Here is a 21116-nt window from a genome sequence, read left to right as displayed (position 1 = left end):
ACAGTGAGGAAAATAAATTGTTACTAATTAAACTAATTTTATATAAGTTCATTTAAGTTACAATGACCAGGAGAACTTAATTGGTCAAAAAAAGATAATGTTTTCAATGGAAATGTTATCACTAAGTTCATCGATTTGTAATTCTGAAAGTTTTTTGTGCTTGAATTTTCAACTTATAAATTTCATTTTCTCTGAGTACGATTATATTTATTAGCATTACTTAATTCAGTGAAAGAATTATAAGCAGTTTAATTCCTTATGAGAGTCTAATTAATGCCTAGTGATCTGAGGTAAAGCAGTTTCGTCTCGAAACCATCGTTCCCCACTCCCCTCCCCCTGCCCACAGTCCTTGGAAAAAACTGCCTTGCATGAAACTGGTTCCTCGTGCCAAAAAGGTTGGAGACCGTGGCGTTAGATGGTATGTCAAAGAAGGCCTTTCTCAAAAAGTGAAATATGAGTTAAGATATGAATAAGAGACAGAGTCAATCAGGTGAGGTTTTTGGACAAGAGTGCCCTAAAAGTGCAAATAGATAGTGGAAACACACAGAAGTGACAATGAACTCAGCTAATTGGCAAAGCATGTAGATGGCCACAGTGGCTAGTGGATGATCAGTTGAACAGTACAAAATAACTGTGGAGAAATAAATGAAGGCCAAATCTTGTAGAACTCTGTAGACCTTGGTAAGAAGTTTGGATAACATTCTAAGTTCAAATAATAAGGATTACCCTGGAAAACTCAGAAATCATCACCAACAGGAGCTCAGAATGGTATTGCATTATATGCACTCAGTTCTTTTTGTGTTATGCCACCTATTCTTGTTAGTGGGCTTGGTGGGTCAGTACTGTTACTGATTAAGAGAGCAGTCTTTGAAATTCAACAGACAGTTGTTTGAATCCTGGCTTATTTCCTCGCTAGGTATATGTCCTTGAGAAATGACTCAACCTTTCTAAGTTTCAGTTTCCTCTGAGGAGATGATGTTAATGTTACCTACCTATTAAGGATTTTTTGAAAATTAAATAATTATATAAACCACAGCACCATGCAAGGCGCATTTTAAACAGTCAATAAGTATTAATGATTTTCATATTATTATGTACAAGATAGGGAAAAGGAAACAATGCCTAATATAGCTCCAAAATATACAATATGCATGCTATTTAGAGCATTTGTTTAATGACTTAGTGTGACAAAGTTGTCTCTTTATTATTACAAAGTTGTCTTGTAATTTTTATCATTTGTTAAACTATGTAGGTTTGTCATAGCCGTTACAAATGCAGAGTCTGCTTTAAGGCAAATTCTATTTTGCATACATACAAAAGGAGATAAGTAGTTGAATTTTGAATATTTTAAAAGAGCATCACTGGAAAAAAATCTTTCTTTAAAGTCATGGATTCAGATTAAAGATGTATATCACAAAAATCTTTTTAAAACTTAAATATCTGTGTAAATTGTTTAATACTACTTTCTTCATATTTTCCCAATTAGCTTGACTAATATTCCAGTACTATTTTTTTTTCTTCAGAGAAAATGACTACAAGAATGAGACAGGGTAAAAATAGAGGACTTCTCAGTGCACAATTGCTCTTTTGCTTAGGGTGATAGAATGTGAAGAATTTCTCATTTGCCTTTACTTTCTCTCTTTGCTATGCTGATGCTGTTGGAGTATAATTATAAGCATAGTGAAGACATTAACAATTTACTATAACTTTATAATTGAATCAATTATTACTATTTTATACATGTATTTTAAGTAACTTCTTAAAATTTAGTACAAAAAATTTGACTCAGCAGAATATCATTGAAGTTAGAATTTTGGGTGCAAAGGAAGAAAAATAAAAATATTATTTTTCAATGGCAGTCTTTTATATCATTCCGAAATTTGAATGAAACTTATTAGATAAATATTCTGGCTAGTGCCACTTACAATTATAACCAAAATATGTAAAAGAATTGGGTTTATTTTTCTTAGCTTTTATTCTTTATTTCCCTGTCATTTTCTAGTAATAGGTCCCAGATCAAAACATCAGTTTGGTTTAGAAAACATATTTAAACCCATAAATAATTATTTCAGTTATTTGTTCTAGAGTAATGTTTCTATAGGTATATTTATAACGGCAGTAAAAGGTAACATGATGATATTGATGAAGATGATAGCAGCTATCCCCTATTAAGCACTTAATGTGTAGACACCGTTTTTGTCTCTGTCTCTCTTTTTGTCTTCCTTTTTCTCTCTGTAAGGCGAGTGGGCATCATAATTTTACTTTTTAAAATGAGCAAAGACAGACCCTGGCTAAATACCTTGCCTACATCTGCTTGTCAATAAAGAACAGAACCAAAATTCAAACCTGGTTTTGACTGACTCTGAAGTTTTCTTCTCCCTCTACTATTATACCTTTGATAAAGTAATGAAACTGATTTATTTAGCAACCTGCAAATGTCAGCCTTAGTACACTTGATTTCCATTAACATTTTAATACTTTGCATTGCATTTTAGGTTTTATATTGATTTTTTTGACTGGTGTCTTTGTATCTCCAAAACCTGCAAATATGTAAAACTCAATTTTTTTTTTTCCTTTTTAGAAATCAGCGACAAGTTTTAACTTAAAAAATGCCCTGGTAGGCCAGGCACAGTGGCTCACGCCTGTAATCCCAGTACTGTGGGAGGCTGAGGCGGGCGGATCACTTGAGGCCAGGAGTTTGAGACCAGCCTGGCCAACATGGTAAAACCCTGTCTCTACTAAAAATACAAAAATTAGTCAGACGTGGTGGCACGTGCCTGTAGTCCTAGCTACTCGGAAGGCTGAGGCAGGAGATTCCCTTGAGCCTGAGAGGCAGAAGTTGCAGCGAGCCGAGATTGTGCCACTGCACTCCAGCCTGGGTGACAGAGTGAGACTCTGTCTCAATAAATAAATAAGTAAAGCCCTGGTAACAATGAGAAGGCTGCACAGAGGTTTTATATTTACAGTTTTACAGTTTGGTTTTTCAGAATAGATTGTATTTTGCCAACTCTACCACCACTGGATTTGGTGAACAAATTATTTAGTCACAGATAAGGGCCAAGAAATTAGAAGTATTTATTATTTTATATACTCATATCTATATATATAAAATAACAAAAATAGTCATGCTTAAAACTTTTAGCTAGAATTAACAATGATTTAAAAGATGATGGAATTCAGAATGTTAAGTATTTATATCAAACTCAAGAGTTGCAGAAATAAGATTTGACTCCTTTATTAGAATAATGTTTCTCCTACACTTTGGCATTGCAAATAACTAAGCATAGTAGATGCTCAGTAAATGAAGACTGATATTATTAGTAAGGAAATGCTTGCAGATACCGATTTGCTTGAAAAAGCAAAATGTTGTCATGTGCCCTGCCACTCACTGAGCTGCTTGAGATTCGATTACTTGGTCAATAAATTACTTTTTAATATGGTCATGATGCTGATGACAATGATGTTGATGGTGACAAACACCTAAACGTATTTAGTATATTGAGGTACCTCACTTAGAGAAAGTCATTTAATACCTTAAATTGCCCTATATGTTAGGTATATTAGGTATATACTAATTATATGGATGAGTAAACCAGATGTCAGAGCTTGTAAATGAAAGAGGAAGGCTAGCTATAAAGTTCTTGTTCTTCACAACTACAAATAGCATTTTGTAAGAATTAAAAATAAACATATGTAAAGCACTTAAAGGTTAATTATCATTTAGCTCTCAATTAGTAGCTGCTATATAAAAGGTTTTCATTGCGCATTTGAGAGAACTTTTTCTTTTATTTTAATTACAGATAAACAAAAGACATACACGTATTTCAAATATTTACAGAAGATGTAAGTGATTTTCCATAATGTTGGTCATTCTCATTTTTAGCCAGCTTTGTTATTTAATGTTGGTGTACTTTTCATATAATCCATTGGATATCATGTTTCTAAAAGGAATCTGTATTATTGATTTTAAAGATAAATAGCGTCAGTGGAGAAGATAAGTTATGTGTAAAACACCTGTTAACACAAAGCATGGAATAAAAATAAAGGGCCAAAGATGAAGACATCAAAAAATTGCCAACGTCTTCACAGCTACCTGATATTTCTACCATTTCTCTTATGCTTTATTGAATTGGAAGGTGTTCATTCAAGAATTTCACATTTGTAGATATTTAGGAAAAGTACTTGAAAATTTATTTTTTTAATTCCATGGTAACCACTTAGTATAAGAGCAGGCATGCAAATATGCTGGGAGAAATTTCATGTCTTCTTGAACTTTGAGAGAGACGTCCATTTTGGCAGAGGAAGAAGGCACATATTTCTATGAATTTATATGAGCACCTCAAATTTGGGTGCTAGTCTGAACTGCCAAACTTCAGAGTTTTCACATTTTTTATATACCAAGGTGGGTTAAAGCAGCCTCTTTGTATAAGGAATATTTTTGAAACTGTTGACATTTGGCTACTGGTCTTTCAGGCACTGTTTTGTAGTCTTGACAGAAACTTGGTTTAACTTGCAGAGAGAAAGTGAAAGACAGAGAAAGGTGTCTATATGAAATGCCCCGAGAGAAGCAGAACTCCTGTAAGGCAACATTTAGGCATTGAGTGTGACACTGTATTAACCTTTTTAATGGATGTATGTAATAAAGTGACATGTAAATGGAGCACAAGGGGAGATATGACACTATATCTGGAAAAGGATAAAACAGTTGGTTGAATACTGGGCTATTATAGCAGTTTGCAAACCTTGGATAAACTCAGTCAGCGGTTGTATAATTGGTTATTCAATCCCGACCCTTGTTCACAGCTCAAAGCCAGGAACACTGAGACCTGTTGCCAATTTGAGTGAATATAGTGACTGTACTCGGCCGGGGCCTAACATTGGAGCCAGGCCTTTTCCTGTGGGCTGGTTTCCACCATGTCTGGGACTGGCTCAGTGACAGTAGGTCTTTTGTTGTGAAAGGCTGGCTGGTACTCCCCTCCTTTGCAAAATGTCTAACAGCTACACAAATATAAGAAAATAGGAAAAGGGGCTTACTGTAGCTTTTCTCTTAGTAATTTAATGTGGAGTTATTAGTTTTTCTTTCTTTCTTTTTTTTTTTTTTTTTGCTCCATTTTTGGGAAAGTATGTGTTAAGTAAACTTAAAAATTGATATAAAAGCTCCTTCTAGATAAGAATTGAAACTTGGTAGTCCCTGATTAGAATACGATATGTATGAAGAAATTTATAATAATCTGATTCACAAAAATGGATTTTTGAGTAAGAGATTTTACTTTTTCTCGTTTCTCCTATGAAAGTTCATGTACTGAGAAGACTGTTTTTATTGAATATCTCCACTGTGACAGAAAGATATAGCATGTTTATAAACCTGTTATGTATTTAGCTTTATAAAACAAGCACCCCACCTTCTCTGCCCAAACCAACTGAATAGAGGCCAACAAACTGACCACTTACTGTTTGTAGTCTAGTAAAATTTGAGAAATAAGTCAGTGAAGATTTTGATTTAACTGCATGGGATAAAGAATGCCCAGTCTTCTTACAGTGCCCAGTTCATAAAGGAATCTTTAACAAGCTTGTAGTATTTGTCAGTTAGGTGCTGCTTACTGATGGGATGACAGTTCCCAGCTGCAATCAATTATGCTTCCATTATTTCTGTTGTTTAAACATGCCTAGGAATACCGTTCAGAGAATTTCACAAAATGTGTATAAGTTCCATAACAAAGTAAAGAGCATGTTGAAAAAAAAATCTGAAAAAAGAATTTTTTTCTGAGATTTTTAAAATAATTTTTTTGTCGCTCTCTCCCCTCCTTGATTCCACCTTACACACCCAGCATTTATGAAATCACACACACAGTGTTTGAATTAATGCAGGGTTGCAATTCAATCAAGAAATTGCTGAGGTCATATAAAATAAATGGCTACAGTCCTTTTTGGCTCAGTTATGGCCTTGATAATTCAGGGTTTTCTTTTTGTTAATTGAGTAGTAGTCCTCTGCGTTGGGTGGGTGGGGTAATGGGGGTGAGCCTAAATATCTTTGACTATACATCATTAGAAACAATTTGGGGGCTAGAAAGTGGTGGTCTGGCAGGAGGGAAGAGGTGAGTTTCTGCCACGGATAGGGGAGGAAGAAAGAGCTGGTTCTGAAAACATGACAGGACAAAGGAAAATGAAGCAAATTGTTCTTTGATAGAAAATTAATCATTGAAAAGTGACTGGTTATTGTGAGGCAAAAAAAAAAAAAAAAAACAGAGGGAGCATTTAACTTGAAATATATGAAAAAAGGCACTATAGAAACTCCAACAGAGGCCTTTAATGGAAAATACACCCGGCCATCTCATTATAAATACATCCCTGGGAGCCAAGTGTTATGAGCATTAGTAAGAAGGTGGTATTATAAAAAATTGATTATAATCAAGCTTAATGTATTTAGGCTTAATAAAATATTGTATGGAGGTAGTGAGTATCATGGCATAATAGAGACCTCTTAGCATTGGATTGTTCATAAGTATTGTATTTCATAATGTTGATCTTCAGAGACCTTTACTTCCTGATGGGAAAATAGGAATTTGTATTGGCAAAGAGAAGATCACAGAGTTGTAGACCGGCCCCTATTAACCCCAGAAGATACAATTCAACATATATCTTATCATCTTAATCTCTCAGATATTCTTCTAGTTTATTTTATATTACAATGTTGTATATGACAAACAGATGTCTCCCTTAGGTCACTGTTTGTAATTTAGTAAATTGTAGGTGTCCAACTGGAGAGCCTAGAGCTGCTGGTGAAGAATGAATGCTTGAGATGCCTCATTAATTTAATGTAGGTAAGAGCTGGTGGGCTTAAAGGATTTGGTAGTAGCCCCATAGAGAACTACCTACAGGTAATTCAAATAGTGTGAAATAAACTTTTTCCCCTCTTATTTTTTTTTTTTCCTTCCATGCTGTGAAACTTCACTGATCATTATTTTTTAAGTACTTTATATGTCACGTCAACAACAGAAAGGCCAAAATATGTATGGAAACAAGAGATTCAATTAAGCTCAAATCAGGTACTTTTTAAAGGTGCTAGGTTTAGTTTTTAAACACCTTCATTTGGCACAGAACTCTTCACATGTTTGGAGATTTGGCTTTGCTGCTTCATAATTTCTGAGGGTGCTACTCTATAAGCTGAATAGTTTGCTAAGGAAAAAACAAGAGAGAAAAATAACCCAAGTTTTATGTCTAGAATTATGGACTAAAATAATACATTGATACCTACTGTATGATAGGAAAGCTTGTTAGATTATGTATCTAATGTAATTTAAACATTTTGGAAATTTTCTGATGAAGAATTTAATACCCTCATTATACGAAGTAATTTATCTTTTGTTCTTTGGTAGCTACCAGGGAACAATAGCGTTTTTGTTTCTTTCTTTAGAAATGAAACACTTTATTTTTAATCTCATAAATGTATGTTTTAGGTAGATAATACAGCTTTCAGTGTTGAACCCTGTCAAGCAATAAAGATCAATTTTAATGATTACAAATTTATTGCAATGACTTACCTGTTTCACTTCCCAGATTTCTTACGTGAAAATATTTGCCTTGTAAAAAAAAATTGCAACTAGATTATGAGCAGCTACTGTAGTTGGAATTTCAAGTTGGAATGCTTGTAATTTAATTGATGATCTCAACTCTTATTATTGGAACACTTTATAAGAGTGATTCAAATATATGTTCCTAATTTATCCTAATTACTAGCAATGTTTCATTTAAATCATCTCCTTTGAAGAATTGGGAGAATTCTTCCAATTAGTTGAGGCCAGTGAAGTTTTTTTGAAGCTTTCATATTCATCCTGGTGTTCATCTTAGGTGAGAGATGTAATTGTTCTGTAAAAGAGACCCTGTTGGGCTGAGACAAAACTGCCATAGCAGGTTCCTGGGTGTTTTTTTATACCTTAGAGAAGATTCCCAGCGGTATAAACACCTTTGAGTTTCTGACATGTGGAACACAGACCTTCATGGCTTTAAAAAAGACCATTTCCAAGTTTGTAAAAGCTTGCTCTCTGACCCCTAGGTCAGAAAATTGGGTGGTCTCTTATTTTATTGGACGCATCCATCCCTTTGAGATGAAATACTGATCTATACCTTAATTTTTTAACTGCTTATGTTTCATTGCACTTCACAAAAACCCCTAGACTGTTGTAAATAAGCATTTTTCTACCTTTGAAAATGTCATTCTTTTAAATGGGTGACTCATTAGGAAAGCATGGAATCCATGGCATAGTATGATGAGCATCCTTGGAGCCCTCCCTACCCCCACCTGCTATTGTTCCTCAGATACATTCGTAATGAGGGGTTGAGTTCAAATTATATGTAAATATCATACATTAACTATACTAAATACACATGTGTGTGAAAGAGAAAGATTTAGGTGATATAAATCTACAGATCTGTATCTTTATCATTTATTATATATATATATATATATATGAGTGAAGATATTCAACATTTATTTCTGAAAAGATCAGTGCAGGAGAAAGAATATTCAACAATACTCTTTCTCTTGCCTTCCCCATATTTCATTATCCTTTCGAATATTTATAGATCATGTTTTCCTCTCAGTTACTAGATATGAGACATGATTTTATGGATATTACTCACCGATGGTTTTAAGAATATAGAAAGAATAACCATTCAAAATGTTGTCCTGTAGAAATCCCTGTTAGTTATATTCAAGGTACATAGACTATTTTGTTTTCTACCATACCACCCTTTCCAGGATTTGTAATTTCTGGTCCTGCCATTCCCTTAAAGAGTTCACATAGGGAATTTTCTGAATAAAGAGGACTTTATCTCCTTTGTTCTTCTCTGATTCATTAAATTGCTTGTAACGTGATTCTCCCATTCTTCTCTGAGGCTGCTTCACCTCAGTTCTCAACAATTCAGAGATGATGTTCTGGTCATTTGGCTGACACCTCAGGAGTTTCTCTTTTCTGTTTGCAACTTACATAAACATATGTATGCTTCTTATGTGTATAGTACATTATGTTGATGAATATATATATGTGTGTGTGTGTGTGTGTGTGTGTGTGTGTGTTTCTGTTTTTTTGAGACAAGGTCCATTCTTGCCCAGGCTGGAGTGCAGTGGCACAATCATGGCTCACTGCAGCCTCTACCTCCCAGGCTCAAAGGCTCCTCCCACCTCAGCCTCCCAAGTAGCAGAGACTACAGGCACTCACAACCATGCCCGGCTAGTTTTGATTGTGATAGAGACAAGGTCTCTCAATTTTGCCCAGGCTATTAACTTCTGGGTTCAAGAGAGTCTCTCGCCTTGGCTTCCCAAAGTGCTGGGATTACAAGTGTGTTTCTAATATGTGGTTACATGATTTATAATCCCTTATTTAAGAGTTATGCAAAATCTTTGATCAAAATACATCAGTAAATAATTTTCTTCATTTTCCCCGATATAATAAATTATATACAATATTATCCCCTTAGCAGTTTTTACTGCATTTTACTTTGACTTTTTTTCTTGCATTAAAAATGTTACATTTCATGGAGTTGTAAAACAGCAAAGTATTGGAATATATTTGGATTTTTTGTTGATAATATTTAATATTTAATTATTATTCATGATAGTGTGGTGTTAGTAAAATTCTTTTAACTTTCTAAGAAGAATTCAGTAGATTTTACTCTTTCACATCTTAGTCATTTTAATTCAAAATTTTGGATATTTGTTATGATGCTTTTATCCATATTTTAATAACCCGTCAGTGTTTTCATCAAGGAATTACCTTAAGTCTTAGAAAAGTTCAGATTCCTGGGATTCAAACAAAATATAATGAACCATACTCTCTGATTGCCCTGGAATTTTGCATTTTAAGAAAGCCTCCTATGATTTTGACCTTTAGGTGGGTAGGGTTCAATTCTATTATGCTCTTGATAATATCCTTCATGGCTGGAAAAATATGTAGTATATACTGTATGTTGAACTAATTGATTCTACTATTCTTATCCATGTAGTTTAAATTTAACTTTATATTGCTTATGTGATTCAATTATTTTCCTCATTATAGACAAGATGAGAAACTGCTCCCGTTTTTGGTTGTCTAGTAGAAATTTTTATAGCAGGTTTAACTGATGACCAGAAGATTACTTTAGAACTTTTACTTTATGGGAATACTGCTATAGTAGCATTTAGAAAAGTCTGTCTGCACATTTATTTACTATTCACTAATTTAATAATTCAAGTAAGGCATCGTTAGTTCTAATTTTGCGTCAATAAATGAAACATTTGGAAAACAACTCAGTGACACTATAACAATTTGAATAAATGGTTTTAGTGATGGTCACAATTGGTGTATCTTCCTCAGGAGATGATGAGTTTCCTAAGGTACAGAGGCCATGTCTTTGTTCTTATCACAGTGCCATAGGAGGGGTTTACCCAATGACTGTTAGATAAATGAATGAATACACAAATAGGATATGATGCCTCTTGATCATTTGTGTCTGTGTATGTGAGCATGCATGTTTGTGTGAACTGTGCAAAATAAAGAAGATGGCAGTATCCATAAATAAAGTGTATTTTAATTTTTGAAAGTAGTCTAATAGTTCTAATGGTACTTTATGCCATTAAAAGCAAAGATAATACCTTTCATATAGTTCAGAAATTAAATAAATATTTCAAAAGATTATACATAACTAATTTTATAACCACTGCCTTTATCATTAAGAATGAGAAGTCTCTGGTGATGCAGGAAAAGTAAAACTCCATACTCTGCTTTTCTCTTTTTCTGTGTATCCAGGCTTCCTTTAATTATTTATTGTTGCTGATTGTTTGCTTCTTTTTTAACTTATTTCACTTATTCCCTCTAATATGAAAATACTTCCAAGGAAAACTCTTTTTTTTTTTTTTTTTTTTTTTTTTGCTGTTTTACACTTTTGACTTCACAGCAACATCATAGCTAACACATGACTGCAGGTTTCCTTGTTGATTAGATCGTATCGAAGTTTGTGAACATTAAACGCCCTTTTGCAAATAAAACTGTTGTATTTTCTTACCTAAAATTGCTCTGAGAATGACAAAAATACAAAATACATGAAAGGTTATAAGAGACCAAATAATAAACAAGTTGTTAAGGCAGATGGACTACTTTGGTTGAGAAAGATATGTATGTATATACAAATTTTAATATACGATTATAAGCAAATCAGAGGGTTTTTTAAATTTTAAAATCTGATTCTATGTATTAGAACATAAAAATATAACTTGAATTATAACTAGCTTTTCAGCTCAACTAGTCGACTACCTGCATATCACAATCTTTGATTTATCATATGAATCATGTCAGCTTTTATTGTTCATATCTTTTCAGGCATCTGGCAGGCTGAGATTGTGATTTGTTTTCACATATGTTGTGATGGAGAAGATTCAGGATGTGTAGTGCTTTATCAGGCTGTATGTGCTTTAATTCTCACTTCCAGTGGTAAAACATTCTGTCATAATTTTAAAGTATTGAAATTCTTATTCTAATGTATGTTAAATGGTTTTCTATTTCTATACATTTTGCATCTTCTTTATCTCTACCACCCACTTTCACAATTTTGAATAACAATAACAAAATTCTGCAAATATTAATTTTTGTTTTCAACATGGCCTAGACATCCAATTACACAAAGTGATTATGTGAATTCACTTTTTATAGTAGGATAATTGCTCCATTTATAATTCAAATACATATTTAGGTAGTTTTTTCTTAAATATATCAGTAGGCATATATAAGTTGCTCAGAACTACGCACTCTCATCTTTACTAAGCTGCAATATGTTTAAGATATCTTAAGTTTTTCCTCAGTTTGTTTATAAATTTGCCTTGTGAATTTAACTGTTTTTAAATGCCTGATTCTTGTATACTTTATGACATAATGTATAGCTTATAGTTCTTGCAGTATTCTTTTCTATTATTTTGTTCTATCTCACATATATACAGTTGAGAAAATACTATTTCAAATGGAATATATGGAAAATAACAGAGTTATTACAACTGGTCTGTAAGAAAGTTGGTTATTTGATGGATGGACAACAAAAATAGTCATGAAAATCTTTTGTTGGAAATATTTTAATTTTTATAAGTTGACTGTTATGGATGCATCATAAATATTTTTCCTCTCAATATTTTATTAAGTTGCTTTTGCTTTTTCATTCTACTCCTCTCGCCTTAGTAACCCTCCTGTTCTCCACTTTCACCCTTCTCATTGTAACTAATAGCTAGAATTTGATTCACATCTCCCCACCCACATGCTGCTGACATCATAAATTATTTGAATCCAAATGGACAATATTCATTAGCTGTGCACTTTACTGAAAGAGCCTTACACAAGAGTGCTGCACTCTCCCATTTTTATTAAAAGTTAAAATGTTTTTGCTGTCAGGAGGGTTGGATGAGTTAGCCATGATAAAGGACAGGGCTCAGTGCTAATATATAAAAATAATAACTATTACCATTGGTTGAATGACCCTGGGAAAAGAGCACTACAAAGCTATTTGTTGTTCTCTTTCACTTGTCAACAGCACTGGCTTAAAAGCTTTAGATATTGTTGAGGACCTAATAGAACCTTTGGGAAGTTAGAAAGACAACTGTCAAACAAAGAAAAAAAAAAGGCAAAGATTAATTGAGCAATTTTGTATTTGTGCTGTTTACGGGCGTTTTATACATTAACTTAATAGAAGTGGCACCTCCCCAGTCCTTCATACTTACTACATTCCTTTATCATCTTTATTGATAAGATCAAACTGAAGAAGTCATAGGAATGGTAGATAACCAAATACATTAATAGTAGGTGGTTATTTCATAAAAATGGGTACAAGTAGCCCTATTACTCTTTGATGAAACTTTTGATTTTGGGGTAGTTTTCATGACAGGCAAGGTGAAGCATATTTTACTTGATTTTTTGAAATTATTTTCCTAGGTTGTTTTATAGTAAGTTGTAGTTGTAATGTTAGTCAACATTTTTGGGTGTCACTATGTGCCTGGCACTGTTTTAATGGCGTTACATAAATTATCTCATTTACTTCTCACAACAAGCATATGAAGTAAGTGCAGTTATTAGCCTCTTTTGCAGGTAAGTGAATGGAAGCATAGAGAGGTTACATTACTTGCCAAAGGGCACAAAACTTAATAAGTGATGGAGTCAGGTTATATGTGACATTATATTATCATTGTAAATATTTGGTAGTAAAATATAAAGGAGATTTTGTGCATGAGGACTAGCTCTTCAATTTCTTGTTGAAATGCTGGGATTTAATATTTGAAATAAGAACAAAACAAAGAGTTGTAGTCTATATAAGAAAATGCAGTTACTTTGTGAGTGATAGAGTGGATGAAAGAATGATTTTCTATCACATATGAATAATGCCTATCTTTTAGTGGAGATTTTTGTATAGAAAATATGTCTTGTGAGGAGTAAACCTAAGGTTATTGATATGTAGTAATGATACCATATTGATTATGGCATAATCATGTGATAAAAGATATTCTTCTAAAATGTGATATAAAACCAATTATAATTGAGCAGGTTCAGCTGATGCAACAAGAAAATTTAAGCCTATGACTAATGATTTAAGTATTACATTACATTTTTCTAAAAACTTCACATTAAAAATTGTAAAACTTGAGTCAGCCAAAGACTTTTTTTTTTTTCTTTTTGTATTAACAGGCTCTCATTAACTTTCAAGTGGAAACAAACAAGTATTTTGGCAATACTAAACGTAAAGTATTTCCAGTGTTTAATTCACTTCAGGACAATCACATATAAAAATAAAGCTTATCTAAATCTTAATGCTATGGAGTTTCTTGTGTGTTTCTATTGTTTGTTGTGGTATGTGTTATATTACGAATTTTTTAGAGGGGGGAATCTTGCTACATTGCCCAGGCAGGAGTGTGGTGGCTATTCACAGGTGCAAACAAAGTACGCTACAGCCTCAAGCTCTTGGCCTGAAGCAGTATTCTCGCCTCAGCCTCCTGAGTAGCTGGGACTATAGGCCCACCACTGTGCCCAGGTTATTTTTTGATATTTCCTAGAAGAACTTGGTATGTCCAGTGGCCGACTAGCTGTAATACTTGACTAAGGGGACTGTTAAGGGGCCTTCTGGTTTTTAGTGTACAAATAGCTTTCCAGATATGTAAAGGTCAATATTACTTAAACTGTGCTGTTTAATATTTGCTCCCTAATATTGTGTAGATATGCAGCTATTGTCAACATGAATTGAACTCTTACTGATATATGATTTCCAGATTTAGCTCAATCTTCCCCTCAAAAATAATTTTATTATACATAACTTAATAAATAGCAACATATTAAAGTGTAATTAGCCTTTTGAAGAAAAATAAATTCGGTTAAATAAATGCACTAACTTGTATTTATTCTTCAGTTTCATGGTGCTACCAGATGAAAGCTTCCAAGAGTAGAACATCAAGTTAACAGTACCTAATTTAAACAGATTATCGAGTTAATAATACTTAGTTCTAAAACAGACTAGCCCACAGTACCACCTATCAAATAATTACTAATTTAAGCTAGACAAAGTGAATAAAATAGAACTACAATTTCATTTTTCAAGAGTTTGGCCGTCTATTTAAAAAACTTTGTGGTAGTATGTGATATACTGTTAAGAACACTGAACTGGAAATTGGACTGCAAGTTCTGCCTTTATATAGGTTTGTGATATTAGGCAAGTTATTTAGCATCTCTAATTGGTACTTTTTTAGTCTGTAAAATGAAAAGTTTGGTCTAAACCAGTTATTACCCAAATCGTATTGAGCCATACACACGGTCATCTCCCAACACTAATTTCCTTGGTCAAATATTTTAAAAATACTACATAATCTGTAACTAGTTTAAAAATTACCAACCTGTTAGTACCTAAAATGATCTAAATCTTGTAGAGAGGAAATATAAATTTGTTTAGTGTTAATTAGATTTGCATGACAATCGAATGCGTGTGTTGTTTTAGTTTTAAGTAGCCAAACCATTTATGTTCCATTTATGTCAGATATATGTTTTCCTCAATTGCTTTTATGAAGTGCTTATCTAAATGATATATAAAGACCTTTTCAGCTCTATAATTCTTATTTTATGGCATGAATAGTCTACATGTGCTTTTACTTTCTTACTTTGAAGGAGATATTGGTATATTTTGAAATCTAGTTACCTCCAGAAGACAACTTCCATTCCTCAATGTGTACACTATCACATGTCAAGAATAAAACAGCTTAGTTTAAGCTGCAAAATTAAAGTATCAACAGTGATAGGTTTGGTATAACCTAACTCCTGTGACTTTGTTTAAAAGTCAAATATCATACATAGCGTACTTTTTGTTTGTTCGATTTTTCAATGAGCTCTGCCACAGCAGCTGAAGGGAGATTAAGGAAAAAAACCTACATAAACACAAAGCAAATACCTGAGCTTGTGTGTAAAGCTACTGCACTGGAGCAAATGTGGTTTAATTCTTGGCACTGGCAGCTTGTTGGAGAATTACAATATGTTGGCATGAGTCTCTAGGTCTCATTGTTCCAGATGAGGGAGTCGGTCTTAAGAGTGTTTGGCACTGAAGGGAAAAAGGAGTGAGAGTTATAGGGAATGAGCAGGCCCTAAAGAGGCAGGATGCTGTTGTAACAATGGCTGGCACAGTTGGGGGGGGCCATTCACTGGTGGGGATTGCCATAGGCATTGATGTGAAGAAGCATATGTGAGCAAAAGAGGCAAGAGTGAGAAGGGAAAAGCAAGCAAATGTATCAGAAGGGTCCTGTTGGCAGAAAGAAACAATAGCGAGCCAATTAGACTCATCTTAATATTAGTGTGTTGATGATGAAGGGTATATTTTATTTTGAATTTGTCTTATATCCGTCCTATTTCCTAACTTTATGTTCTTTTTTAAAATATAAGCATTTACCTTTCCCCTAAAGAGACAGATCCTGAAATTAAGAGAACCTGGTTTTGTATTCCATCTGTTCTACTTACTGATGAGCTGATGTTGGGCAAAGCATCTTTCTGAGCCTTAGTTTCCTCATCTGCAAAATGGATATAACAATTATATATGCCACTGACAAAATTGTATCTGGCAGCATTCTGTAAATGGAAATGCTATGCAAATAATGATTATTAACTCACACTTATTTTTAATCTAGGGAGCCCTAGTTCTTACTTTGAAGGTAATCATGATATTCCAGTACTTGGGAGAATGAACTCTCAGGAGGAGGAATTTTCAGGAGACTCTTTTAGAGTTAAGTGAAAAACATGACACATCTTAAAATGAAAATAGAAGAAACTCATAAATACATACATCTACTGGGTACGCACAAAAATTTAAAAAAAATTAAAGGAAACTCCAGAATTTGAACATTTGCAAATAACTGGGCACCCCACATACCATATTCATAGTACAAAATACGATTCTATGCTTGTGCATTTTTAAAATCTTATTTTAGAAAATTAAATATTTAATAGATAATTACTGTATTCACTTCATAAGCAGTGAAGCAGCACTTACACTTACATAATTGTGTCAAATTTCACTTTACTCATATTCACACGTTAACAAACAGGTGTATTGTAAATATTGGGCTTCTGCCATTTGGTCCTTTACATTTTGAAACATGCATTTTCTACCATATCTTTACCATTTTCAGAGAAATTTAATCACTGCTACATGTCCATTCATTGTGCTCATTATTATGAGATTATTTCTTACTGTTATTTCAAGAACTACCAGTGGAAACTAGCAGTTAGTAGAGTATTGAATGTGGATTTTTTTGAAGCTCTTTGCTTTACATAAATTCAGAGAGAGGGGTGAAGTGGGTGAAATGATGTCTTATGATCCCCTTCCCTCGTCACCCCCACAGGCCAATCTAGCCAGTGTCACTGTCTTGGAGAGAACCCAGGTTGTTTGAATTATAGCCCAATATTCCTTCTACTATATAAGTAAAATTAATTTCATTGTATATCTCTGCTATATACTTATAGGTTGTCACTAAATTATCCAGAATCCTAGAGTGCAAGGCATATAATTGGACCACACCCTGAAAACAAAAACTGTAAAAAAGCCTACCTTTTAATTCCACAGTTGCTGCTCATACATATGTGTTACCCTAGAACATTTATCAAGTTTTTACTTCATCTATCCAAGGGAGTTAGTAAGAATCATTTTTCCTACGATCCAGAACTGTTTTGTAGATTAAATGAGGGACAGTGTGTGTGTGTGTGTGTGTGTGTGTGTGTGTGTGTCTGTGTGTGTGTGTGTGTGTTTTGTGTTGCCATAACAGAATAACACAGACTGAATGATTTATAAAGAAAATAAATTTATTTCTCACAGTTCTGGAGACTGAGAAGTCCAACCTCAAGGTGCTAGCATCTGGTGAGGGCCTTCTTGCTGCATCGTCCCATGGTGGAAAGCAGAAGAATAAGGGAGTGCACACACGAGAGACAGATGGAACTTGTACCCTGAAGCCTTTCTATAATCAGCCTTAATCCATTCATGTGGGTGGAGCCCTTATGACCTAAATACCTTCCATTAGGCCTCACCTCCCAACACTTTTGGATTAGGGGTTAAATTTTCAACACATGCTTTTGGGCGGACCCATTCAAACCACAGCAATGTATGTGCTGCAAAGAACAAAGATTTTGGGATCCAATAGGTAGAATTTAGCTCCACATTGGGCAAGTCATGATAACTTCCTAAGTTTTGGTTTCTTAAATGGTAAAACAGATGTACCAATATCTAATTCAGCAGATTACTGTGAGCAGTCTGAGATACCACATGTGAAGGACCTGGTACCTTGCTTAGCCCTTAGCCCTCTAAATAGTAGCTATTATTATCATTTTGTTGTTGATAAGAGAGTTAGGAATGTGTAGGAAAAAAAAAAAAAACTTAGTTCAAGACCTCAATTCTGCCCATTACATTTTGTGGAACCTCAGAGCAATTCTCTTTTTTCTTTTTGCTGGTGCTGCTTCATCTCTTTAAACCCGTAACATGGATGTTACATGATCTAAGTCTTCATTTGGTTATTACCATTAAATGAGAGAATACAGATAAAAACCTCTAGCATAGTTTCTGGCACATAGGCTGCTAAATAAATGTATTTGAATCTGAATTTAAAGTATATACCTCATCTAAGTTGTAAGTATGAGTGTCTTTATTCATCCACAGACATGACAACCGTGATTTAGATATGTTTCTGATTTTACATTTTCAAAATAACTTAGTCTTAAAGAAGTTATTCTTTTTTTTTTTTTTTTTTTTTTTTTTTGTAGTGTGTGCTTAAAAGTCAAGTACTTGAACAAACTGGCTCTGTTTACCAGCCTTATATCTTTATGCTAGTTAATAAAGAGGCCTGGAATGTTCTGCAGGTTTCAGAAATCTGGCTGCTGTTTCTTTAACTCTGCAACTTAGACAGAAGACTTCTGTTTCTTTATGAGCACACTACAGTGAATATTTTGTCTAGCTGCAGGGGAAAAGCTTTGTCATGGACTTTGCAGACAATAGCCTTAAAAGTAAAATGGTCTGCTTTTGGTGCCTGGAGGTTCAGGGGCCTATTGTTAGTGCACAATGGATTTCTATTGCTGCATTCCTGCTTTGCAAAGGTTTGTTAGCTTTTAATGACTGACAGTACTCTATTGCAAATACCGTATTGGCTGTGCCCTGTTTACATGCTACTCAAGAATTTTTGTAGAGTGCTGGAAAAAAGAGACAGTGGTGTTTGTTTGACCTACTCTGATAAGGTTTAAGAAATAATTTTACTCTCAAACTGTTTACTGGGAATGTAGAAATGTTGGAAGTCCTTGTGGAAGTATTTCAAAGTTACTTTTAAAGCGTCAATGAAGAGAAATGCTGGTTATAATATGAAGATATTTACTCTGTTTTATGACTCCTAGAGTTGCTGTTAATATTCTGAACCAATACCATATAGAAATTGGGATATTTTAAGAAAACTTAAAAGTAAATTTTTCGGTATTAGTTCCTTAAATGTGAAAAATAGAGCTATGTATTTTGTTCTGAGGGAAAAAATCCATTTTTCATTCATTCATTTCAACTGCATTCATTCATTTCAAATTCATTCCGTAGGTAAATGTGCATTTATGAAGTTGTTGTAAGGGCATATACATATTTGCATATATGTATATATGTATACATATAGACTATGTAAAAGAGTAATCATTCAGAGCTTTTCACCATTTTATTTTCCACAAGTTTCTGACATGTGAGACAGAAGTGTTCCATATTGTTACTTTTTTTTTCCAAGGAAAATTGCACCTCTGCTTTGTTGAAAACTCCACACAGGCTTTTTGACTCTGCTAGCTGATCGCTGTAAAGATGGGGCCCTGGAAAAAGTAGACAGCATTAACTAAACGTGATGATGAAAACTCTCTAAAATGCATCTTACTGTGGGGAAAATTAACCAGTTTCTAATAATATTACGGTCTCTAGGCCAGACGGTCCCTTTGATAAGTTAACATGTACTCCCTTTATGCTCCTAGTAGGGAGTAAACAAATGCCTGAACAAACACACATACACATAAACACCAATGTGGAGAATGGCAGTGTATGTCCTTGATCTATATAATAAGTGTGGGTATTGTTATTTAGATGGAGCATACTGGGACACTTATCTTTTAGTACATTCCATCTTCTAAGTGAATGCTGCGCTAATCACGGGATTGAAAGCCATTGTAATTGTGTATCCATCTAAGTGCTGACAAGAATATACAATTATATTGTTTGAAACTGAGTTTAATGTTTGGGAGTTTTTATTGGCATTTATATTTACTTATACATTAAAGTTCAACACAAAAGGAAAGGTCAAAACCTATGTTATATGTAGAAACAAATACCAGACTAAAGCAGCACCTTGCTTTCTAAAATGTGTGTGCCCTGTCTGAATACAGGGCATTTTAAAAGAGTGTGATACAAATCTGAAATAAGCAAATAATAGGTTTCCATTATAGGCAGCATTCCTCACTTCTCTAGATTTTCCAATCTTTTTAAGGCTTCTTTTATACCAATTTTTTTTTTGTTTTTTTTTATGTTCGCAGTACTGGCAAATCTTACCACAGTGTGCTTACCGCCACACGATGTTAAACACATATTATAAAGTGGATGTAATTGTAAACACACAGAGGGATATAATTACATGTAGCAGATTTAAGAGCTAATTCTTTGCCTTTTTTTACTCCGCATTTTATCAACATAATTATTTTTTGACTGCAGACTAACACCCTGAAATTGACAAGCATCCATTATAGCAAGAATTTGTTCACTAAATTGAAAAACAATGAACCGCAAGGTTTATGTGTACCCATTGTCATAAAGAATCAGTATGGCTTTGTTCCGCAAGAGGAAAAAGCTAATGATTTTGAAACAGCAGGTGACAGGACACATTCTTTTTTTCCACCCCTGTTATCAGTTTTTTGATGAAGCCATTATGAAGTGGGGCTGGGATAGGGATGGCCTTATTTTTAGCAGATAGACTTTTAATGAGCTCCATTGTAAGGAGAGTCATGTTGATTTGCTCACTTCTTTTTTTCTTTACTTAGAAACCCCCAGTATTGAAAAACTACTCTCAAAGGACTGGAAAGACAAGCTTCTTGCAATGGGATCGGGGAACTTTGGCGAAATAAAAGGTAATATGGTGTGATTGTTTTTATCCAAAATGTACCAAAATGAAGTTGATATTCAGAAATAGTAATGGTGATAAAGTATTTCTGCCCTCACCTCTTCTGCTTCTTGCATTCTCTGTGTTTAGGGTTTCTTCTTTCTATCTTGAAGGAGGATGTAGCAGGGTTCTTATATTCTTTCTTTGTTTGTGCCTTATGGAATAAATGATATGTTGTTTTCAACAGAATCACCCCACTATACCTCTAACAGGCTCTGATTTTCATCATTAAAATTAAATTAAATTATTTTCAAAAATTAAATTATTTTATAAGTAAGAATGTACCTATAGCAAGGTTAAAAACTGTATTTTATAAGATTTTGTACATTGTACATATAAGAAATATGGGTGTGTAGAACCTAAATTTAAAACCAGAAATGATGAAAGGGGAGAGCATAATAAAAGGTTGTTTTGTACCAGTCAAGGTAAC

At 33.8% G+C, this 21116-nt stretch overlaps 1 protein-coding gene across 42 annotated transcripts in view, besides 1 other annotated feature; it reads left to right on the top strand.

The window, feature by feature from the left end:
* Positions 1 to 21116, top strand: part of SOX5 (SRY-box transcription factor 5) — a 1033147-nt gene that overhangs the window by 786359 nt on the left and 225672 nt on the right. For all 42 annotated transcript variants that reach the window (XM_024449159.2, XM_024449158.2, XM_047429458.1 and 39 more), the window contains one exon: positions 20568 to 20654. In XM_024449159.2, the coding sequence (XP_024304927.1) occupies positions 20568 to 20654 (87 nt within the window). The remainder of the gene's footprint in view (positions 1 to 20567; positions 20655 to 21116) is intronic.
* Positions 19339 to 19861: an enhancer, noted in NCBI's record as "NANOG hESC enhancer chr12:23909365-23909887 (GRCh37/hg19 assembly coordinates)". NCBI's record gives its function as "activates a minimal SCP1, AML or CMV promoter by ChIP-STARR-seq in naive H9 embryonic stem cells {active_cell/tissue: H9 hESC(naive)}" and the evidence as "EXISTENCE:reporter gene assay evidence [ECO:0000049][PMID:30033119]".

The sequence above is a fragment of the Homo sapiens genome, chromosome 12 (genome assembly GCF_000001405.40).
Source record: "Homo sapiens chromosome 12, GRCh38.p14 Primary Assembly".
NCBI lineage: Eukaryota > Metazoa > Chordata > Mammalia > Primates > Hominidae > Homo > Homo sapiens.
This window is presented reverse-complemented; position numbering and strand designations above follow the sequence as displayed.